The sequence below is a fragment of the Homo sapiens genome, chromosome 7 (genome assembly GCF_000001405.40).
Source record: "Homo sapiens chromosome 7, GRCh38.p14 Primary Assembly".
Lineage (NCBI taxonomy): Eukaryota > Metazoa > Chordata > Mammalia > Primates > Hominidae > Homo > Homo sapiens.
In genome coordinates this window covers 11528898-11552572 of record NC_000007.14, presented here as the reverse complement: position 1 = coordinate 11552572, position 23675 = coordinate 11528898, and the positions used below count along the sequence as shown (strand labels likewise).

At 37.8% G+C, this 23675-nt stretch overlaps 1 protein-coding gene across 6 annotated transcripts in view; it reads left to right on the top strand.

The window, feature by feature from the left end:
• The window catches only part of THSD7A (thrombospondin type 1 domain containing 7A), a 461834-nt gene that overhangs the window by 279626 nt on the left and 158533 nt on the right, over positions 1-23675 (top strand). For all 6 annotated transcript variants that reach the window (XM_006715662.2, XM_006715660.2, XM_006715659.2 and 3 more), the window contains 2 exons: positions 9456-9611; positions 10942-11154. In XM_006715662.2, coding sequence (XP_006715725.1) covers positions 9456-9611; positions 10942-11154 — 369 coding nt within the window. The remainder of the gene's footprint in view (positions 1-9455; positions 9612-10941; positions 11155-23675) is intronic.

Here is a 23675-nt window from a genome sequence, read left to right as displayed (position 1 = left end):
TCACTATCTGCCTAAGTAATTTTTTCTTAACTCCTGTATCAATACTTCCTTGAGCCTTTATTTATCACATTTCCCTTTTTGTAGCTCAAAATTTTGTGGCTGATTATTCTATTTAATTTATTGAAAATACACCAAAAGCTAAAATAAAACTTATTTTTTAAAAAACGGCCACGAAGTAAAAGCACAATGTTTTAACCTGTTTCCTTTTTTTACTTGTTTAAATTAGGGGTTGGGAGTGTGTGTGTATTTTTTTTCTAACTTTTAAGTTCAGGGATATATGTACAGGTTTGTTACATGGGTAAATGGGGAGTCATGGGGGTTAGTGTATAGATTTCATCACCCAGGTAATGAGCATAGTACTCAATAGGTCGTTTTTCAATCCTCAATCCTCACCCTCTTCCCACCTTACACCCTCAGGTAGGCCCTGATGTCTGTTTTTCCCTACTTTGTGTTCATGTTTATCAGCTTCCACTTGTAAGTGAGAACATGCAGTATTTGGTTTTCTGTTCCTGCAGTAATTTGAATAAGGATAATGGCCTCCAGGTCCATCCATGTTGCTGCAAAGGACATGATTTCTTTCTTTTTTTGTACCACATTTTCTTTATCCAGTTCACTGTTGATGGGCATCTAGGTTGATTCCATGTTTTTGCTGTTTTGAATAGTTCTGTGATGAACATATGCATGCATATGTCTTTATGGTAAACTGATGTATTTTCCTTTGGGTATATACCCAGTAGTAGGATGGCTGGGTCAAATGGTAGTTGTTTTAAGTTCTTTGAGAAATCTCCAGAATGCTTTCCACAGTGGCTGAACTAATTTACATTCCCACTGGCAGTGTATAAGTGTTCTCTTTTCTTAGAAACCTTGCCAGCTTCTGTTATTTTTTGACTTTTTAATAGTAGCCATTCTGACTGGTGTGAGATGGTTATCTCATGGTTTTGATTTGATTGTCTCTGATGAATAGTGATGTTGAGCAATTTTTCATATGTTTGTTGGCCATGTGTATGTCTTCTTTTGAAAAATGTCTATTCATGTATTATAGTTTGCCCATTCTTTAATGGGGTTGTTTATTTTTTGTTAATTTGTTTAAGTTCCTTATAGATTCAGGATATTAGACCTTTGTCAGATGCATACTTTGCAATATTTTCTCTCACTTTGTAAGTTATCTGTTTACTCAGTGGATAGTTTCTTTTGCTGTGCAGAAGTAGCTCTTTAGTTTAATTAGGTCTCATTTGTCAATTTTTCTTTTTGTGGCAAATGATTTTGGGGTCTTCGTCATGAAATCTTTGCTGGGGCCTATGTCCAGAATGGTATTTCCTAGGTTTTCTTCTAGAGTTTTATAGTATTAGATTTTACATTTAAGTCTTTACTCCATCTTGAGTTGATTTTCATATATGGTGAAAGGAAGGGGTAGAGTTTCAATTTTCAGCATATGACTAGCCAGTTATCCTAGGATAACTTATTGAATCAGGAGTCCTTTCCGTATTGGTTTTTGTTGACCTTTTTGAAGATCAGATGGCTATAAGTGTGTGACTTTGTTTCTGGAATCACTAATCTGTTCCATTGATTTATGTGTCTGTTTTTGAATCAGTACCGTGCTGTTTTGGTTACTACAGCCTTGTAGTACAGTTTGAAGTGGGGAGTGTGATGCCTCTGGCTTTGTTCTTTTTGCTTAGGGTTGCTTTGGCTATTCAGGCTACTTTTCAGTTCCATATTAATTTCAGAAGAGTTATTCTAATTCTGTGAAAAATGTCATTGGTGGTTTGATAGGAATAGAACTGGATCTGTAAATTGTTTTGGGCAGAATGGCCACTTCAATAATATTACTTCTTCCTATCTGAATTAGTTCATTTTCACATTGATATAAAGAACTACTTGGGACTGGGTAATTTTTAAAGAAATGAGGTTTAATAGACTCACAGTTCCACATCGCTGGGAAGGCCTCAAGAAACTTACAATCATGGCAGAAGGCAAAGGAGAAGCAAGCACCTTCTTCACAAGATGGCAGGAAAGAGAGAGCAAAGGGAAAAGTGTCACTTCGAAACCACCAGATATTGTGAGAACTCACTATCATGAGAATAGCATGGGGGAAGTGCCCCCATGATCCACTCGCCTCCTGCCAGGTCCCTCCCTTGACATGTGGGATTACAATTTGAGATGAGATTTGGGTGGGGACACAGAAAAAAACCATGTCACTATTCAAGAGCATAGAATGTTTTTCCATTTATTTGTGTCACTTCTGGTTTCTTTGAGCAGTGTTTTGTAACTCTCATTCTAGAGATCTTTCACTCCCTGGTTAGCTGTGTTCCTAGGTATTTTATTCTCTTGGTGGCTATTGTGAATGGGATTGCATTCCTGATTTGGCTTTCATCTTGGATGTTATTGGTGTATGGATATTCTGCTGAATTTCATACATTGATTTTGTATCCTGATAGTTTGCTGAAGTGTCTTATCAGGTCTGGGAGCCTTTGGGCAGAGATTACGGGGTTTTCTAGGTATAAAAGCATATCATCTGTGAAGAGAGATAGTTTTACCTTATCTCTTCCTATTTGGATGCCTTTTATTTCTTTCTCTTGCCTGATTTCACTGGCTAGAACTTCCAGTACTATTTTGAATAGGAGTGGTGAGAGTGGGCATTCATTTGTTTGTTTTAAGTTCTGGGGTACATGTGTAGGATGTGCAGGTTCATTACATAGGCAAATGTGTGCCATGGTGATTTGCTGCACCTGTCAACCCATCACCTAGGTATCAAGCCCAACATATATTAGATATTTTTCCTGATGCTCCCCCCAACCACACTCCCCCAACAGGCCCTAGTGTATGTTGTTCCCCTCCCTGTGTCCTCATTGTTCAGCTTCTACTTATAAGTGAAAACATGAAGTAATTGGTTTTCTTTTCCTGTGTTAGTTTGCTGAGAATAATGGCTTCCAGCTCCATCCATGTCCCTTCAAAGACATGATCTCATTCCTTTTAATGGCTACATAGTATTCCATAATGTATACGTATGAGATTTTCTTTATCCAGTCTATCATTGATGGGCATTTGGGTTGATTCCATGTCTTTGCTATTGTGAATAGTGCTGCAATGAACATGAGCATGCATATATCTTTATAATAGGATGATTTATATTCATCTGGGTATATACCCAGTAAAGGGATTGTTGGGTCAAATGGTATTTCTAGTTCTAAATCTCTGAGGAATCACCACACTGTCTTCCACAATGGCTGAACTAATTTACTTTTCACAAACAGTGAAATGTAATTTGTGTAATTTACATTACACAAACAGTGTAAAAGCATTCCTATTTCTCCACAACCTTGCCAGCATGTATTGTTTCTTGACTTTTTAGTAATAGCCATTCTGACTGACATGAGATGATATCTCATTGTGGTTTTAATTTGCGTTTCTCTAATGATCAGTGATGTTAAACTTTTGTTATGTTTGTTGGCTGCATGAGTGTCTTCTTTTGAGAAGTGTCTTTTCATGCCCTTTCCCACTTTTTAATGGGGTTTTTTTTCTTTTAAATTTAAGTTCCTTGTAGATTCTGGATATTAGACCTTTGTCAGATGGATAGATTGCAAAACTTTTCTCCTATTGTGTAGGTTGTCTGTTCACTCAAGTGGGTATTCTTGTCTTGTTCCAGTTCTCAAGGTGAATACTTACAGCTTTTGTCCATTTGGTATAATATTGGTTGTGTGTTTGTCATAGATGGCTTTTTTTTTTAGGTATTTTCCTCTGACACATAGTTTGTTGATGGTTTTTAACATGAAGTGATGCTGAGTCAAAAGACTTTTCTGCGTCTATTGAGATAATCATGTGATTTTTGTTTTTAGTTGTTTATATGATGAATCATATTTATTTGTGTATATTGAACCAACCTTTTGTCCCAGGAATAAAGCCAACTTGATTGTGGTGGTTCAGCTTTCTGATGTGTTACTGGATTTGGTTAGCTTGTAATTTTTGAGGATTTTTGCATCTATGTTCATCAGGGATATTGGCCTAAAGTTTTCTTTTTTGTTGTTGTGTCTCTGCCAGGTTTTGGTATCGGAATGATGCTAGCCTCATAGAATGAGTTAAGGAGGGTTTCTTTCTTAATTTTTTGGAATAGTTTTAGTAGGATCAGTACTAGCTCTTCTTTATATATATATGGTAGAATTCAACTGTGAGTCTGTCTACTCCAAGCCCTTTTGTGGTTGGTAAGGGTTTTTTATTACTGTTTCAACTTTAGAACTTGTTATGTGTCTGTTCAGGGTTTCAGTTTTTTCCTGGTTCAATTTTTGGAGGTTGTATATTTTTAGGAATTTATCCATTTCTTATAAGTTTTCTAGGTTGTGTGCATAGAGGTATCATAATAGTCTCTGAGGGTATTTTGTATTTCTGTGGGGTCACTGGTTATGTCACCTTTGTCATTTCTTACTGTGTTTAATAGGATCTTCTCTCTTTTTTCTTTATTAGTCTAGCTAGCAATCTATCAATCTTATTTATTCTGTCAAGCCAGCTTTTAGTTTGGTCATTGTTTTGCTTGTGGGTTTTTATTACACTGTTTTGGAAAGCACAGCTTTGTTTTTGGTTATTTCTTGTCTACTGCTGGCTTTGGTGTCACTTTCCTCTTGTTTTTCTAGTTCCTCTAAGTGTGATTTCATGTTGTTAATTTGAGAATTTTCTAATTTTTTGATGTGAGCATTTAGTATTGTAAACTTTCTTAACACTGCTTTAGCTGTGTCCCAGAAAGTCTGGTATGTTGTATGTTTGTTTTCATTAATTTCAAAGAATTTCTTTATTTGTGCCTAAATCTCATTGATTACCCAAAAGTCATTCAGAAGAAGGTTGCTTTAATTTCCATGTAATTGTATGCTTTTGAGAGATCATCTTAGTATTAACTTCTGTATTTATTGTGCTGTGGTCTGAGAGGGTGGTTGATATGATTTGGTTTTTTATTTTTATTTTTTTGAATTTGTTAAGAATTGCTTTATGTTCAAGCATATGGTCAATTTTAGAGTATGTGCTGTGCACAGATGAGAAGAATGTATATTCTGTTGTTGTTAGATGGAATGTTCTGTGGAGGTCTGCTAGTTTCATTTGATCAAGCGTGAAGTTTAGGTCCCAGATATCTGTTAGTTTTCTCCATCCTTTTACTTTGAGCCTATGAGCGTCATTGCATGTGATATGGTCTCTTAAGATAGCGTACAGTTGGGTTTTGTTTCTTTATCCAACTTATCACTCTGTGCCTTTTAAGTGGAGTGTTTAGCCTATTTATATTCAAGGTTAATATTGATATGTGAAGATTTTATTCTGTCATTATATTGGCTAGTTGTTGTCTAGATTTGTTTTTGTAGTTGCTTTATAGTGTCAATAATCTGTGTACTTAAGTGTGTTTTTGTGGTGGTCAGTAACAGTCTTTCATTTCCATGTTTAGCACTCCCTTAAGGACCTCTTGTAAGGCAGGTCTGGTGGTAATGAATTTCCTTACTCCCTTTCAGAGATGCCAGTGAGTCATAGGTTTAGTCTCTTCACATAATCCCATATTTCACATAATTCCTTATTTCACTTTTTTAATTTGTTTACATTATTTTTGTCTGTCTGATTTGATTTGAAGAACCACTCTTCAAGCTCTGAAATTTCTTCATTAGCTTGGTCTATTCTGCTGTTAATACTTTCAATTGTGTTATGAAATTCTTATAGTGAGTTTTTCAGATCTATTAGATCAGTTTGTTTTTTTTCTTAAAAAAGCTATTTCATCTTTTTACTGGATTCCTTAGATTTCTTGGATCGGGTTTCAACTTTCTCCTGAATCTCAGTGATCTTCATTGCCATCCAGACTCTGAATTCCATCTCTGTCATTTTAGCCTTTTCAGCCTGGTTTAAAACCAGTGCTGGGGAACTAGTGCAGTCATTTGAATGTAATAAGGCACTGTGGCTTTTTAAGTTCTCACAGTTCTTGTGCTGGTTTTTCTCTCATCTGTATGGGCTGATGTTCCTTAAATCTTTGAAACTGCTGTCTGTTGAATGTGGCTTATTGCTTTTATATTCTTTGATGTCCTTGAGGGTTTGACAGTGTTATAAATTGGGTTCAGTCAACTGGCTTCATTTCCGGGTGATTTCAGGTGGCCCAGGCTCAGCTCAGTACACTGGGGACCTGGGACCAGGCCTATGGCTTTGTTCTCTGGCCCCTCAAGGTTAAGCACCTGCTGTACTGCAAGGGCTGAGGTGTTCCTAGTCAGCTAGCAGCAACACTCTGATGGAGGGTGCTGGCAAAAGCACTACATTGGGGTGGTGACAATGGGGTCCACACTTGGGCATGCATGCCATCAACTACAGGGCAGCAGTGTGGCAGGGTCCACGTGTGTGTGTGTGTGTGTGTGTGTGTGAGCGCGCGCCCACACCAGCAACAACAGAGCAGCAACAGGGTGGTGGGCCCTGGCACAATGGTTGGGGAAGGCTGCAGGCAGGAGCATGCTGGGGAGGGTCCATCTGCAGAAGCTCTCTAATGGTGGTACCTACCAATGAAGGAGCTACAGTAGCAGCTGCTGGAAAGCACCCTCATTGGGCATCTGAGATTGTACTGCAAGTGTACAAGGCCAGGCAGTTACCCTGGGACGGGCTGGAAGATAGGGGGTGCTGAGATCAGACTGGGCTTGTGCCATGGGGAAGAAAGCTATGCTCTGTTCATGTCCTACAGTCAACAAAGGCCAAAGCCATCTTGAAGAGTGTGGTGAGCCTTGGGAGAAGGACATCTTTGGCCATGCTCTTCTGCAGCTATTTCTGTGCCAAACGCTCTGGATTCTGCACATATTAGAGACCTGCCCCTGATAACTCTCCAATAAGCTCTCTCTGCAAACTCAAATGTCTGTTGAGGAGTGGGTTCCCCTGCAGCTAGGATTCTGGGGTCCATGGCAAGAGTGGGCCATTCCATGCCTGTTTAATTCACCCCTTTCCCAGGAGCCCCTCAGGGCCAGGAATGGATCTTGATGCTCAGTAGCCCAGTGCAGAGTTCCCAGCTTCCTCTTCTTTTAGCCCAGGTTCTATGTTCTCCCTCTGTCCACCTTCAATGCCATCCTTCTGAAGATCTGCTTGGAGGGTGCAGGTCTTCTTAATGGTCTGGTCACTTGGTGGGAGAAGCTCTTCCTGTCAGCCATCTTGCTTAACCTGTTTTCTTAATAAAACAATGTTTGCTTCCTAAAGTTTTCAACTTTATATATAAAATAAATTCAGACTCTAATAAGATTCCTCACAATTTCATACCCAGTAAATTTTATTTTATATAAATTATTATTTCAAAAACAATATAGTAGCACCAAGATTTAAAATGACTTTTCATCAATTGAAGGAAAAAATGGAGATTTTAAGGTCTTCTACCCAAAACCTCTCATTTTAAATTAGATACTCCGAAAGTTTCCATAAGTAAAAATCATTACTTATGTTAATTTGCAGCTAATTTGCTACATAGTATAGACTCTTCTGCCTATACATGTCTTTAAAAGAATCCATTTTTATATGAAATGTGTATCATTGGTGTCAAGTTTTTTATATTCAGAGAGTGAAGCTTTTAATTTCTATATTTTATGTCATTAGTGTGCTGAACACTTCTGCTCCTGGAAAGCAATGAAATTAATCATTTTTGGCTTCGGCTGCTGTTGTGATGCACATAAACAGCAATCCTGTTGAACTCGAGTGAGAATGCTCACTGTGCTCATACTAAGCCAATTAGTGCCCAGTTATTTATTTTCACTGTAGTGGCGAGTGTGGGAGTGGTGGGGGTGGGGAGGCGGGGGAGATGTGGAGAGAGAGATAAGCACTACTAGTAGAGAAAAGCAGACATAAAATTGGCAGAATATTTTTCAGAACAAAAACTGTGGTAGTAAGAGGAATCAATGTCATAGGCTTTAGATAGCATTTATGACTGTGTGCTCGTGTGTGTGAAAACTTATAGGATGTAAAAGTGCTTACAATTTGTCTTCAAGTTTAAATTACAAACAGACATAGTACTTTCATTTAAAAGTTAGGAAAATGTAGTTTAAATTTTTTTAATTTCTCTGTGAGCTTCTGCATGCAATCCTATGCAATTGGAATTTGATAGTCCTTTCACACAGGAGAATGAGAAATAGCTAAGCATCCATTATTTAAGTCATTTTTTCTGCAAGTGTGGGCTCACCCAATCATGAGAGTGATAAAGGAACTGGAACTAGCTATTATTCAGGAAATGTGTGACCAAGAAAATGACTTTTTTTTTTTCCGACTGTGTCTCGCTCTGTTGCCAGGCTGGAGTGCAGTGGCATGATTTCAGCTCCCTGCAACCTCTGCCTCCCAGGTTCAAGTGATTCTCTTGCCTCAGCCTCCCAAGTAGCTGGGACTACAGGTGTGCACCACCACGCCCAGCTAATTTTTGTATTTTTAGTAGAGACGGGGTTTCACCATGCTGGCCTGGATGGTCTCTAGCTCTTGACCTCGTGATCTGCCCACCTCGTCCTCCCAAAATGCTGGGATTACAGGCATGAACCACCGTGCCTGGCCATGTATTAGATTTTTTTTTAAAACAAAAGCAAATATGGCATCAGGAGATAGACAGACAGATATTATATAGATAGATAGACAGATATTATACAGCTAAACTTGATTCTCTTCCTCTGTCCATATAGTTTTACATATCTTCATCACTTAGTCATTTTTAGTTAGTTCTATGTCCAGAACTATGGATATATATTGACCTTAACTGTCAAGTATATACAAAAGAGCCAAACTGCAGGCATAAAAAAAACAAAAAAACAAGGACAAGCAACATTTATCCACAGTTTATTGGTCAAATTATGAACAAATGTAGATAATTATAAATTAGCATCCTTAGTGATTACTAGATTTGTGTCACATATGCAGATAATGTGTTATTATTTAGACATTTTGGAAATAATTCAGTGAGCACTGTAGCTGGGGGGTACAGAGAGTAGCCCCCATTTGAGATCCTTCTTCATCTCACCTGCTACCTCTCAATCCCGGTGAACCAAAAGAGATGGGAGAGTTCTCCACCAGGAACTACTCAGTGGACATTTTTTTCATATATGTTGAAGCTATAGTCCCCCTCCTATTTTTGTTCAGTCCTCTGAAGTTTTCTTTTACTTTCTTAGAATATTGCTATAGAATTTTAGATCTAACCTTAAGGAATATTTTGCAGACTAGGAAAGTTATATTCAGCATTATTAATTGCATGACCAATTAATGGTAAAACTGGTAATCAAACAATTTGCAAGACATCTCCAGTTTCCTTTGACTACACTTTATTGCCTCTTTTATTTCCATTCGTTCTCTTTTTATTCTCAGGATGTGGCTGAGAAGCATTGGAATAATGTCTTGGTAGCACTTCTTTAAGGATTTTCCTTTTCCATACACACAGAAAAATCATATTGTTGGCCATATATGTTCCTTTTGTTCATTTTTTAATATGTGTCTGTATTTTTCTCTAGCCTCAAAGCCAATGGACTTAAAATTATGCACTGGACCTATCCCTAATACTACACAGCTGTGCCACATTCCTTGTCCAACTGAATGTGAAGTTTCACCTTGGTCAGCTTGGGGACCTTGTACTTATGAAAACTGTAATGATCAGCAAGGGAAAAAAGGTAGGTAACGTGACCATGACATGCCTTTTATACCCACCAATTGTATCAAATCATGAATTATTTTTAAAATGCTCTTCTGTGTTCCTTGTTTGTGGTATTTTCCAGAATGGCTAAAGACTATTAATTTCAAAAGATGAATTAACCTTCTCCAGTGATAGTACCAGAAGATTAAAACAGAAGAACATAGGCATAAATGCTTGTTAATTTAGACAACATGATGGAGAGGATCTGAGACAGTTTAGTGCAATGGTTAGGATGAGCTGTGGGGTCAGGCCTGGATTGGAAAATCTACTGTGTCCCTTACTGTTTAGATAAGTTAACTAACATATCTAAACCTTTGTCCCCTTATCTGTAAAAGGGATGTAACAATATCTGCCATCCAGATTGTCTCTAAGCAGTCAATCAGATAAACATAAAGCACTTAGTTCAGTGCCTGACCCATACCTAGTGCCCAATAATAAGGCTGCTTATTACTTTGAAGAAAAAAATGTAAAAACTGTATTACTTTCATATGCAAATGATAGAGGAATAGAATAAATGCAATGGTTTTCTTATGGTAGACGTGGTGAGCTAATTTTCACATGATCTCATGATTGAAAACATTTTTCAATTTTGTTTCAAAGACCAGTCTTCTAGTGATTCTAGTATGTTTACATAGCAATAAACAGACTTGTTAATTTTGTTACACACTCTCATGAAGGGCAGCATTTAGGTGCTATTAAAGCACAAAGCAGGACTTTGAATATTTCACACTGGAGCCCACATGGCTTATGTTCCTAATTCAAATTTCCAGAGGGTCTAAAATCAACTGAACCTCAAAGAGATTGTTTCTCTGGAACCATCCAACTTCTTAGAGGTTCATTTTCCAAATTTAATCATGTGACATTGCTGAAGATTTAAGAATAATAGCACTTTTGTCTGGTCATCGGTATTTCTAAATAGCTTGAAATTTCACTCCTTCTTTGAATATTCTATAGCTACAGACTTTCCAAGTTGACCAAAATTTATCTCTCTCTCTGTTCCCACCCTACTCCTCTACGCCCTACAAGGGAGATGGGTACTATATGACATTTCTAGCCTTACCTTTGCAGTAGTAAGCTAAAACCAAAGGTTCTCATTTTTTTTCATTCCATTCGTTAATCCACTCACTCATTTAATGGATGGTTCATGACCTCACATTAGCTACAGTTTGGGGATACACCAGTGACTCAAAACAGAAATGACTTCTACCTCCACTCTTATCCAACTTTTACTCTGAGGTTTTATTCAACTTTCTGAAATACTAAACCTTTGATAGTAACAATAGATTTTTCCTTCCCCCATAATTCAGGCTTCAAACTGAGGAAGCGGCGCATTACCAATGAGCCCACTGGAGGCTCTGGGGTAACCGGAAACTGCCCTCACTTACTGGAAGCCATTCCCTGTGAAGAGCCTGCCTGTTATGACTGGAAAGCAGTGAGACTGGGAAACTGCGAGCCAGATAACGGAAAGGAGTGTGGTCCAGGCACGCAAGTTCAAGAGGTTGTGTGCATCAACAGTGATGGTAAGACAGACGTATCTATTATGTTTTTATGGATGTCCAACCCTGCATATATGTTTTTACTTTCTGTTAAAATCCTGTGTCTTCTCGCATTATAACTGATTCTGTTTACAAACGTAGAAATAGCTGCTTCTCTCTCCCTCCCTCTCTTTCCCTGTCTCTTTCTCTTTTGTTCTAATGAAATGGTGGCAGTGGGAAGGATCCATGAATAGTAACAAAATAATGTTAAATGTGAAAACAGAACAGATCATATAACATAAGAATTGAATTATCATTAGGGCAATAATTGCCAAATTTAACAATAACAAGTAAAGGTAACTTTTTTAAGTGACTTTTTTAAAAAAGTCTATAGCTCCAGTGTTATAGAAAATGAAATGTAAACAAAAAAGGGTTGTAAGCATTGTTTGATTTGACTCTAAAAGTATTTTCCTTTAACCTCCCTGATATCGTGTCTTAGTGTTATCATTTAATTTCCAGGCTCCCAATCCACGAGGCCTACCACAGCCTAGAGTTCCTGAACCGACCTTTTGCTCTCTAGGGCTCCACTATTTAGGAATGTCCTAGAGCCACTGGATAGTGGCTTTCCGCAAGATTCTTTTCCCCAACCTCAGGAATTACCTTGGACTTTTACAACTAATATTTGTTTGATAAAATATACTGTCTTGATGTTAGCTCTGATATAAGATTTTTACCTTCCTTCCAAAGAGTACTGCTACTGTTTTGGGGAGAACTCCTTACCTCTAAGTCATCCCTGAGTCACACTTGAAAACCACAAGACTCCCCCAGACATACTTTAAAACCTCTGGACAAGATCATCTCTAAGGTTGCTCTATCTCTTGAATCCTATGACTCTGCACATCAGAGAAGCATGAGTGCTAAACCCCAGGGTCCAACAGTTGACAGTTTATGCTGTTTACAGCATGTGCAGAAACACCCTGGTGCCCCCTTGGGGGTACTGGAACATCTGGTAACCGTCATAATTCTTTCCATCCTATTTTCTTCCAGTAAGCAGAATTGTTTCCTCCTGTGACTCAGTCACTGTTCAGTCGTAAAGAAAGACACTCTCTGGTGTGGGAGACTGACAGACACTGCTATTACTGAGAAATTAGCCTTTTGTCTTTGTCCAGGGTCTAATATAGTCATGCGAGACAGTATTAGGTAAAATCTGAACCAGTGCTTGAGTTTGAAATGGGAAGAAGGAGATCATTGCTCCAGATCTTTTATGATGAATTTTATATATTCTGCTTTTTTGCTACGATAAGCATAATCTGCTGTGATATGTCCTCTGTTTAGCTCTTACTTATTCTATAATAAAGAGAGGAAAAAAAGGAGGAAGTAACACTCAGAGATTGGCAAGAAAGCAAAAGAAGCATGTTCTGTTTCTCTTTTACTCACACTTTAAATCCTAGTTTGGATTACACAATACTGTTACCTTCTGAATTGCTGTAAAAACAGTCAGGGTCGTATTGAATTCCCTCAGTAATAGTACTTGATCGTTTTTCTCAGTTCAAATAATTTTGCTTGTCCTTCCATAGTCCTATAGAGGAATTAGGGTCTCAGGTATTGTGAAAAGTATTTTTGAGTGAAACAAAACGCTAAAAAGTTAACTTTGCATGGCACTTCTGCCTCAGTGTTATGCAATGAAAAAATCAGATTTAGTCCACTTAGTACAATGATCTTCCTGGTATTTGTGCTAATGGAATATATTTTATATAGACTAAAGGAGCCAGCTATTTAAAAAATATCAGTGGCTTATTTTCATTTTGTTAAGTGAAACTTATTTTGCAACACAAGTAATTACCTCCTAGCTTGTCTTGTGAAAAAACACTAAAAAACAAGCAGAGGTATGACTTAGATGTGTGTAGTTGTACTGGCAATGTATGTTATAACCTAAAAAGCAAATTGATAACTCACAATACAAATGAGCTGGTTTTACTTTGTGTACATCACAAACGGAATGAATTTTAAAAAGGTAAGTATGCAACTGCTATTAAATTTGTTATTGTCCTTTACAGGACATCTTTTCCACCATTAAATTTTATTTCCTGACATTAATTAGTTGTAGTACAACTTAATACATTAGCTGTTTCAGCTACATGGATGTATAAAATCAAGAAAATTATTTTTTTATTATGAATCCTAGAACTCACTCAAATTTGTATATAAACTGAGACATAATTGGGCTGATAGAATGAAAGAAAAAGCTGGAGACTTGTAACTACTGCTCCCATATTATCATGTGGTCACCTGGTAAGTGTTTAGCAGCTGCACCAAATGTTGTTTTGTAATTAAATTGGGCCCAGGGAATTAAAGTTGATTAGTTGTAGACTCTACCTCTAGGCCTGGGCTGCAGCTATACATTTTGTTTTATAATTAAGTTAAAGCTCGACTAGGGGCATGAAGCATTAGAGCCTGTGAACTGAAGAAATAATAAAAAGACTTTTTTGCTCCCACATTCCTCACAGATTTCACAACTTTGTTAATGACCTCAAAACACTTAAAATCTATTTGTTTTCTGAAATATTCTTTGTCCAGACTCCCAGTGATCATTAAGATTTGCTGCTGCTGTTCATTTTTCCATTTCCCTTCTAAGGAGGAGGCTTGGGGAGGGTTGTAAGAGACCCCAGGAGGAGTTTTGCATAGCTTCTCTGTCAGAGAAGAAAACAGAGGGATGTAAGAGAGTCGCAAGACAAAAGAGAGCACAAAAGACGATTAGACTCTCCAAAAAGAGATAAACATTTCACTGTAATAGAACAAATATTGCTCATTACTTCATGATCATCGGATACACAATTCCAGGTCTCTGAACACAAACGCAGGAACCTACTCCAAAGATCTGTGGTCTGGGGAATGACCCAAAACCCGCCCTATTTTAATTTTTCTGATATTTGAATATGTTTCATTTAAAGGTGTAAATCTGGCAAAGCAAGTGTATTTTGTTTCCTAAATTGGCTTGTTAGAGGCTGAACAAACCAGGCTATTGGACCGGAGCAAGGGGAAAAAAGTATTATTCCTTACTTGAGAGTGTAAATCAAATATTGTTTCCATATTTCCTTCTCCTCTGCCAAAAAAAATGATGCTGTCTATATTTCCTTATCATGTGTGCTATTTCAGATATCGAATATTGACACTTTTCCATGTGACTTTCGAAAAAAAAGTCAGTTATGTTATTTTTTTGTTTGTTTTTGCATTATTTTTTAAAGCAGTACACCTCAGTGGTTTCAAATGCCTGAACTTCTATGCTATCTTCCTTTTCTTTTCCCCACATTAGCAAAGTTAACCAATGACATGGGCATAGGCAACTCACTTTCCTCCTTGACCCAGATTGTTAAGAAACCCAAACATACTTTTATGGAAGTAAATCATTGCAACTCAGCATTACCCAGCTATTAATGTTACAGTATAAGAGTAATGAAGGTCACCGGCTAGGGCCATCCTTGTGTATTGTGCCATTCTTGAATGGGAGTAACTCTGCTATCCAAAGACTCTCAGCACCATGTCAAACCGGCTGGCTTCTAGTAATGCTGAAGAAGGCCTATGTCTAAGCACATGTGGAGATGAGCACTGAGGTAAGCCCTAAAAGCAAGTTTTTCTGCCTCTTTTGGGAACATTTCTACATATCATCAAAAGTATCAAAAGAACTGGCTTTGAAAACACCTGGGGGAAGTTGACTGTGTTCGGCTATTTGTGCATTGCTTATAAAGAAATACCTGAGGCTGAGTAATTTATGCAAGAGGAAAAGAGGTTTAATTGGCTCGCAGTCCTGCAGGCTGTACAGGAAGCATGGCGCTGTACAGGAAGCATGGCACTGTTAGGTGTTCAGCCTCTGGTAAGGCCTCAGGAAGCTTTTACTCATGGTGGAAGGCTAAGTGGGAGCAGGCATCTCACATGACAGAGTGGAGCAACAGAGGGAGAGAAGAGAGAGATGCCACACATTTTTGAACAACCAGATCTCATGAGAACTCACTCACTATCATAAGGCCAGCACCAAGGAGATAGTGCTAAAGCGTTCATAAGAAATCTACCCCTGTGATCCAATCACGTCCCACCAGACGCCACCTCCAACAGTGGGGATTACATTTCAATATAAGATTTAGTGGGGACACATATCCAAACTATATCATTGACTTTAGTATCCAGGGCACTGGCTTGCCATGTGACTGCTTAATCTTTCTCAACTTTTTACCACCAATTTCTTCCTTCTGTAATAAGATATGTTTCCGCCTATAAGATGAGGAAGGGGAAAACTTGAGTACTATTTCTTTCCCAAGTAGTTCTTGTCATACTTCTTTGTTTCCATGTAGTTAGCACTAGGAGGAATATGGGGGCATATCATTTCAGTATCTTCAGGAAAATGTAAGAATTTTGAAAATTTATACCACTGGAGAATAGGACTCATTGTGGAAAGAGATAGGGAAAGATAATGCCCTATTTTAAGTCTTATAGTACAATTTGTATGCAATATATAAACTGTATGAATACTGAATTTTTTTTCAGACATATATTATTAAAAAGTAACAGTGTGAAGGGGGACAGAGGTAAGTGGGACAATCGGTAGAAGATTGGGAGCAAAGCAAGCATGCCAGGAATAGAAAAAGAGAAGTTATAGAACTCATAGTTGAGACTAATATTTTGACTGATTCAGAATATTCATAGATTGTTCCAGAAGCATAGGCCAGGTCAAGGATGAAGATGCATCGAGCTTATTAAGGATGTGCTCCCAGAAGAAACCAGTAAGAAAAGGGGGAATGAATAAGCAAAATACAGAAAAGAGAAAGGGTCTTGAGCTCCTAAAACCATTCCCAGGTTTAGTGATTCACTAGGAGGATTCACCATACAGTTGTACCTATAACCATGACTTATTAAAACAATAGTATGCAAAACAAAATCAGCAAAAGGAAAGTGTACTTGAGGCAAATTCCAGAGAAAAGAAGATGAGTCCCAGAAACTTCCAATTCTCCATATTGGCCAGAAAAACCTAGTGTCAAAGGGCAATCAGCCTAAAGTCAGGGATGAGGCTGAAGCTGCAGAATCTGAAAGATGGGTGCAGAGATCCAGTGAAAGGGATCACATGGGATCCAAACTGGCCAGCAACACTACCCATTACAAAACGAAATCCAATTATGTGGTAAGGAATATAAATGTTGTATAAACTAAAAGGAACCAAAGACCCGATTAAACAGTGTCTTCTGGGCCCACGAGAATATGCAGTTTTCCAGTCCGCTGCCACTTAGGAGGTTCCTGGATTCCCAATGAAATTGAAATAATTCTATTTGAATTTTAATGCAGAAAGGAGCTTCAGAAGGCTGGAAAACCTGAAGACTCCCAAGTAGCAGACATTAAGATTGTTTAATATTGGAAAATGTTAGAATATCTTTTCAATAACTTAAAATGGAAGAGCACATTTATAAATATTTTTGTGCCTTTCTATCAGGGGAGTACCTTTTGTGCCATATTTTATCATTTATTAATGATAAACAAGGACATTGTAATGTACAAGGGAGAGTGGTAGACAAAAAGTTAAAATATATTTATAGAATGGAAACTCACCTAAATAAGATTTGCTTCTGAAACCTTGGTGAGAACCTTGAGTTCAGATCAATTCAAATATCTATGGAACTAGATGAGAGCACAACTTCAAATGCATGATCATTCTTTGGAACTGGAATCTACTTCTTAACACAAATTACAAGGCCATTATGTAGAAAAAACTTCTTTTAAATGCAAGAATCCATCCTATAACTGAATCGTTTTTCCATAATTTAAGCAATAAGTCAACAAAGTTTCCTTCCTGTAGAATGTTATGTCTTCTAATGTGTTTGAAATATAATTAGGTTGGATATTATGTTAAATCTAAGGTCTCTCACTTACAATTAGGATCGTCTAAAACTATTGGTAGGAGTTTGTTTCCTGTAATTGGGTTGAGACTCTTTATTCAATTTGTTGTAAAGATAAAAGTCATTATAACCTTTTAGAAAATTTCAAGCAATATGTTTTCCTTCAGTGTTGGTGTGTAGTAATCACCATTTTATTTTGGACTATAAAAACTTGGCATCAGATACTCTGATTTGTCTGCTATCTGTTAGTATATGTGTCTGTGTATGTATTACAATACACTTGGATATCTTAGTAAAAAATACTTTTTTAGAAAAAACCGTCAGAGTTGAACCAATGTTCTTTGTTCTTTTGAATGGCAATGTTGTAGCAAAGAGTAGGATTTTCTATATAATTTTATGTATTTTATTTTTTAAAGTAGGGTAGATTCAGCAGAGACATCAGATAAAAATTGAGTAAATAATTATTTACCACTTAGTGATACAAATTCCCCACTGAATGTTAGCTACAACTTCAAATGGCAAATATAAAATAGCCATTTACTTTGTCATAGGTGGTGGGTACCTTAACACAACACAGAGCAACCAATTTTCTCTTTATTTCCTTTTAGAGATGTGGTCTCACTGTGTTGCCCAAGTTGGTCTTGAATTCCTGGGTGCCAGCAATCCTCCTGCCTTAGCATCCCAAGTAGCTGGGGCAACAGTCACATGACACTGTGCCTGGCCAAAGCCAGTATGGACATTGGACAGAAAGCATAACTTTCAGTTAAATTAGGCAGGAGTTTAGTTATTAAACCCAACAGATGCATTCCTCACATTAGTGAGCCTCTTGCTTGCTTCTTTGATTCCCTTTATATCCACCTTCTCTGTAAAATATTGTCTTCCCATGACTTCATTGATTCTGTATTCCCTATTCTCTTTCCACCTCTCAGACCATATATCATTTAACTATTGCTAGGTAACAAACCACCTCAAAACTTAGTGGCTGCAATCATGAGAATGCAGAAGTGCTTGCTAAGGTTTCACCTGAGCTCTCTTGTGGAAGTTTGACTATGGCTGAAAGGTCCAAGTGTCCTCCCTCACATATCTGGCATTGGTGCTGTCAGCTGGGGTACATTGGTACCCCATTGGTACATGGACTCTCATCCTCCAATAAGCTAGATCAGCTTCTTTTTATATGGTGGCTTTTGGCATAACTTCAAGAGGACCAAGCAAAAGCTGAAAGTCCTCTTGAACTCACACAATATCACTTCGTCCACATTCTGCTAGTCAAAGCAAGTCACAAGTGACAATCCAGATTTAATGAGTAGGAAAATAGACTTTGCCTTTTGATGGAATATATTGCAAAGAATTATGGCAAATAATTTACTATGGTCTACTCTCTGGTTACAATTATTTTCAATCCTCTCACATGCAAAATATACACCCTCCCCATCCAAGACCACAAAAATTCTCATGCAATTATATTATCAGGCTTAAAGTTTACTATCTCATGATTTGCATCTGTTTCAAATATGAATGTAGCTACTCTTGAATCAGAGGTCTGTGAATGAAAAGAACAAGGTATCTTCCACTAATTCCCTTCAAATATACAACATACAATATTGTGAAAGAGAGTGGAAAAGCACTCTCCCATTCAAAAATGAGAAAAACAGGAAGCATTCAGCCATTTCTGCCCTATAACAGTTTTTTAAATCACTTTAAGTCCCAAGATACAAGTGCAGAACCTGTAGGTTTGTTACATAAGTATACATGTGCCATGGTGGTTTGCTGCACTTGTCAACCTGTCACCTAGGTTTTAAGTCCTGCATGGATTAGCTGTTTGTGCTGATGCTCTCCCTGCTCCCCACACCCGACAGGCCCTGGTGTGTATTGTTTCCTATGTCCCTGTGTTCTCATTGTTCACCTCCCACTTATGAGTGAGAACTTGTGGTATTTGGTTTTATCTTCCTGTGTTTATTTGCCAAGGATGATAGCTTCCAGCTTCATCCATGTCCCTGCAAACAACATGATCTCACTCCTTTTTATGGCTGCAGTATCCCATGGTGTATGTGTCCCACATTTTCTTTATCCAATCTATCTTTGATGGACATTTGGGTTGGTTCCATGTCTTTGCTATTGTAAATAGTGCTGCAATAAATATATGTATCCAGCTGCTCACCATAAAACAGGAACAGAGTAAGTTCCTTGATTAGGCTCTACTTTTGTTCTCTGGGAATCGTTTCCTAGTCCACTGTTTTCTTGATTCTTTCATTCTGAGCTCTTGAATTTTCCCCTAAAATATCTTTCCTTTTCCATAAGAAATGGCTTATATTTGTAGCCGAGGAACTTTCTCAGTTGGCCTCTGGACCACAGAAATTAGGCCAGAGGACATTTTTTTCACTCTGAACTGTCTGAATTTCTCCAAGTCTAAATTGGCAAAGTTTTATCAATGCAACACCCTTAAAACGTTTTGAGTTTTCTATATATCTCATTGGATATCACTTTATGCCCCAAAAGCCATATCCATCACTGTTTTTCACACAACCTTCTTTTTATTTTGGGCTACATGTGAGTCTGCTGTGGGAGATGCTTCTAAGATTCTTAAAAGCCCTGTCTAGCTGAGAGGGTCTTCTGTGAATCACGTAAGTCTTTCTCTGGTGTTATCAAAGAATTATTAGCTATATCCCAGATTAATTTTTACCTTAGGTCACTTCTTACTTTTTCCCAGAGAAGTAAGGATGAGAAATAGTTTTATTTTTTCATTTTATAACAGCTCTTGTGGCATCTTCTAAATTCCAATTGCACATTGAATTATTTCTTCTCTATTTCTCTTCCAATAGCATATCATTCTCAGAAGAAAAAGAAAACATTAAATGGACATTTTTAACATTTTTCCTGGGAATTTCTTGAAATACTTACATTTTCTATCTTGCAAGTTTCCACAAGAAACAGTTTTGCCAATTTTTTCATCACTGCATGATGTAATATGTACATTATGGAACTAATTTTTCACTAACAATCTTCTTACCTACTTTTGCCGATCTAGATTCAATGGGTAGGAAAATAGACTCTGCCTCTTGATGGGAGAATTATGGCAAATGATTTAATTTATTATTTAATATCTGTCTCTATCCTTCACTAACAGTCTTCTTGCCTGCTTTTCAGCCTTTACCAATCCCAAGTCTCAAAGCCAATTCTACTTGTTTTAGATTTCTTAAAGCAGCATCTCATTGCTACATATTAAATTCTATACCAGCTACGTATACTACATAACAAATTACCCCAAACTTAATTTTTTGTGTTTGTTTCATTTTTTCACAATTCTTTGGGTTGGGTGGGTAGTTTCTGTGTTGGCTTTGCCTGGTCTCACTGATGCAGCTGTATTTAGCTGAAGAGCTGGCATGGGTGGAATGGCCTAAGTTGGCCCCACTGATGTCAATGAAGGTGCCTCATTTTATCTCCAGGTGTCCTCTCATGTTCCAGTAGACTAGACTGGCATCTTTTCTAGGTGGTCTCAAGATAATGTTCTAGGAGAGAAAAACAGCTGAATGGTCACTTATTGCCTAGGTTCTGAACTCTTGTAAGACCACTTCTGCCACATTCTATGGGTCAAAGCAAGTCTCAAATCTAACAAGGCTCAAGGAATAGTGGAATAGACTATACCTTTTGATGAGAGGTACTTGCCAGAATTTGTGGACATACTGAATCTGGCACATGCTACTTCCTCTGTTTCCTATATGCTATATTCTTTCTCTGATCCTTTCTTAAAAGTTAATATTTCATTTCAACGCTCTGCTATAGAGCTATACCCGGAAGTGCCAGCCAAACCCTACTGACATTTTAACCTCACTGTGTACCAAAGTCAAACTCATCATCTTTTCTCCAAAGTCAGTTTCTCTTCCAATTTTTCCAACCTAGTTCACAACACTACAATTTATTCAATCCTCAATCCTGCTGATGGAGTGACATCTGTGAAGAGACACAAAGGAGATGAGAAAGTAAGCCCTATGCGAATTTGAGAAGAGAACATTTAGGGCAGAAGGAACATTAAATGCAAGACCCAGAGGTAGAAAATGCTTGGACTATTTGAGGAACAACAACATGGCCAGTGTGGTTGGAGTAGAATGAGTTAGGGAGAGGTTATTAGGTGATGAATTTAAAGAGGCTGCAGAGGCTTGAGATCATTCAGGGGCTTTGGCTTTTATTCTGACTAAGATGGGAATCTATTGAAGGGTTTGAAACAAATGACCAGAACCGACATGTTTTTAAAGAATCACTGATGTTGCTTTGTTGAGAACGAACTTTAGGGGAGCAGAGAAGCAGCAGTGAGGAGACTATAGCTTCAGCTATAATTCCAATGAGAGATGACAGTGTGGCTTAGATAAGGGTTGCAACAGTGGAGGGGACAGTGCTAATTTAAAAGAATTACACTAGTTGAGGAAAACTAGAGCAGCAAGTGGAGATGTTGGAATCCTTGAATCAGGTTTTCCTTATACTGGTATTATTTTCTTTATACTAGTGTTATGGTATTATCCACCATAAATCCTCTCTTGATCACATCATTCAGCTGCTTGAAATCTTGTTTGTTTGTTTTTGTGACAGAGTCTTGGTCTGTCACCCAGGCTGGAGTGCAGTGGCACGATCTCAGCTCACTGCAACCTCCACCTCCGAGTTTCAAGCAATTCTCCTGCCTCAGCCTCCCAAGTAGTTGGGATTACAGACACCCGCGACCATGCATGGCTAATTTTTGTATTTTTAGTAGAGACCAGGCTTCACTGTATTGACCAGGCTGGTCTCAAACTCCTGACCTCAAGTGATCTGCCCACCTCGGCCTCCCAAAGAGTTGGGATTTACAGGCATGAGCCACCATGCCTGGGCAGAAGTTTTTTACTGGCTTCCTTTTGCCTTCTGCGTGAAGTCCATTTGGGAATTGCAGAATGTCCTCCACCATCTGTCTTGTCCGTTTTACCAGTTGGCTTTTCTACCCCTCCCTTCATTACACCATTGTACATTTTATGGAATTTGGAATATAATCATTTACAGTTTACTATTCCCCACTATTCCTTCTATATGGTTGCTTACTATGGGGTAGGTATCATGTCGTAATTATTTTTGTGTGACTGTTTCCTAGCACTGTGTTCCACTTAACAGATTGTCAATAAATCTCTGAACCATAACTAATTCCTTTCTTTTATCCCTAAACATCACATATTTTCAAGAAATGACTCTTAATTTCTCCTCAAGTAAACTTTTATTATTGCCCTCACTGCAAATTCAAACTTTGCCTACCAGATGTCGAATAAAGCATGACACCAAATTGCACACCCTATTAACATCTCAGTATGCCTTCAAATTCCATTACACTCAAGTCCCAGTACAGTGGAGCAAAATAGCTCCTGTATTTTCATAGGAAGAAAAAAATAAATGTACAGAAAAACTTGAAATTTGAAGGATTCCTCTCACAGCATTTTATCATTAAACCATGTTTTATTGAGCTTTAACTTTCTGGAGACCGGTCATTGCAGCACTGACTCTAGGTTCACATGCTAACTTTGCCACTTTATTTGGCAAGTTCCTTAAATCCACAGTGACTACGTTTCCTTTTCTGTGAAATGAGACCTGTTTATAATGCTGTTTTGTAGTGCAAATGAGTTAATATATGCTAAATGCTAGGAATTGTTCCTAGTGTGTTCTATTTAAGTGTTTGTTGTTACTTTTATTCCTCTAAGGTGGGTTCAATAGAGAGAAAGTTAGCTGAGCATAGAGACTGCCTTGTTTTTAATTTGGTTACAGATAAGAATTTTATTGCTTACTGTATTAGTGTATCCTCACATTGTTATAAAGATACTATCTGAGACTGGCTAATTTATAAAGGAAAGAGGTTTAATTGGCTCACATAGTTCTACATGGCTGAAGAGGCCTCACTCAGAAAACTTACAATCATGGTGGAAGGCAAAGGGCAAGCAAGGCATGCCTTATATGGCAGCGAGAGAGAGAGAGAGCAAAGGGGGAACTGCCAAACACTTTTAAAACCATCAGCTCTTGTCAAAACTCCCTCACTATCACAAGAGCAGCATGGGGGAAACCATCCCCATGATGTAAATACCTCCCACCTGGTCCCTGCCTGGTGGGGTTTACAATTCAGATTACAATTCAAGATGAGATTTGGGTCGGGACACACGCAAACCATATCACTTACCAATAACTTGATTACATGATTTGCAGCCTAGCTCATTTATTTTCATAACACACTCATCAGATAAGTGACCTCATTTTCAAAGCACATATACATGGCCTTAAATAAATGTCTATTGTATTCACTAACAGAAAATAAATATATAATAAAATTCTATAATAAAAAAATTATTTCACCTGTTTTACAGAGAAACATATCTCTGAGTTGACATTGAGCTAATATCTTTTGAATAGAACAAGATTATGTGAGTTTGACCAAACTTATAAAAAGTATTGTAGCAATGTTACTAATTTTAGAGTAGATTAGAAATGCACGTTTTTTATTTGTATAACATAAGAACTATACTGAATGTGTCACTAGAATCGTACTTTTCTGTTTTTAGAAGACAACAAGCTACTGACTGTGGGCAGAAATTGGACTTGACTTATGTATGATCAGGGAATATTGCTGTAGAAAGGCAATTAAATATAATTAAGAAAGCTGTAGTAATCTTTAAACTTTAAGACCGCTGG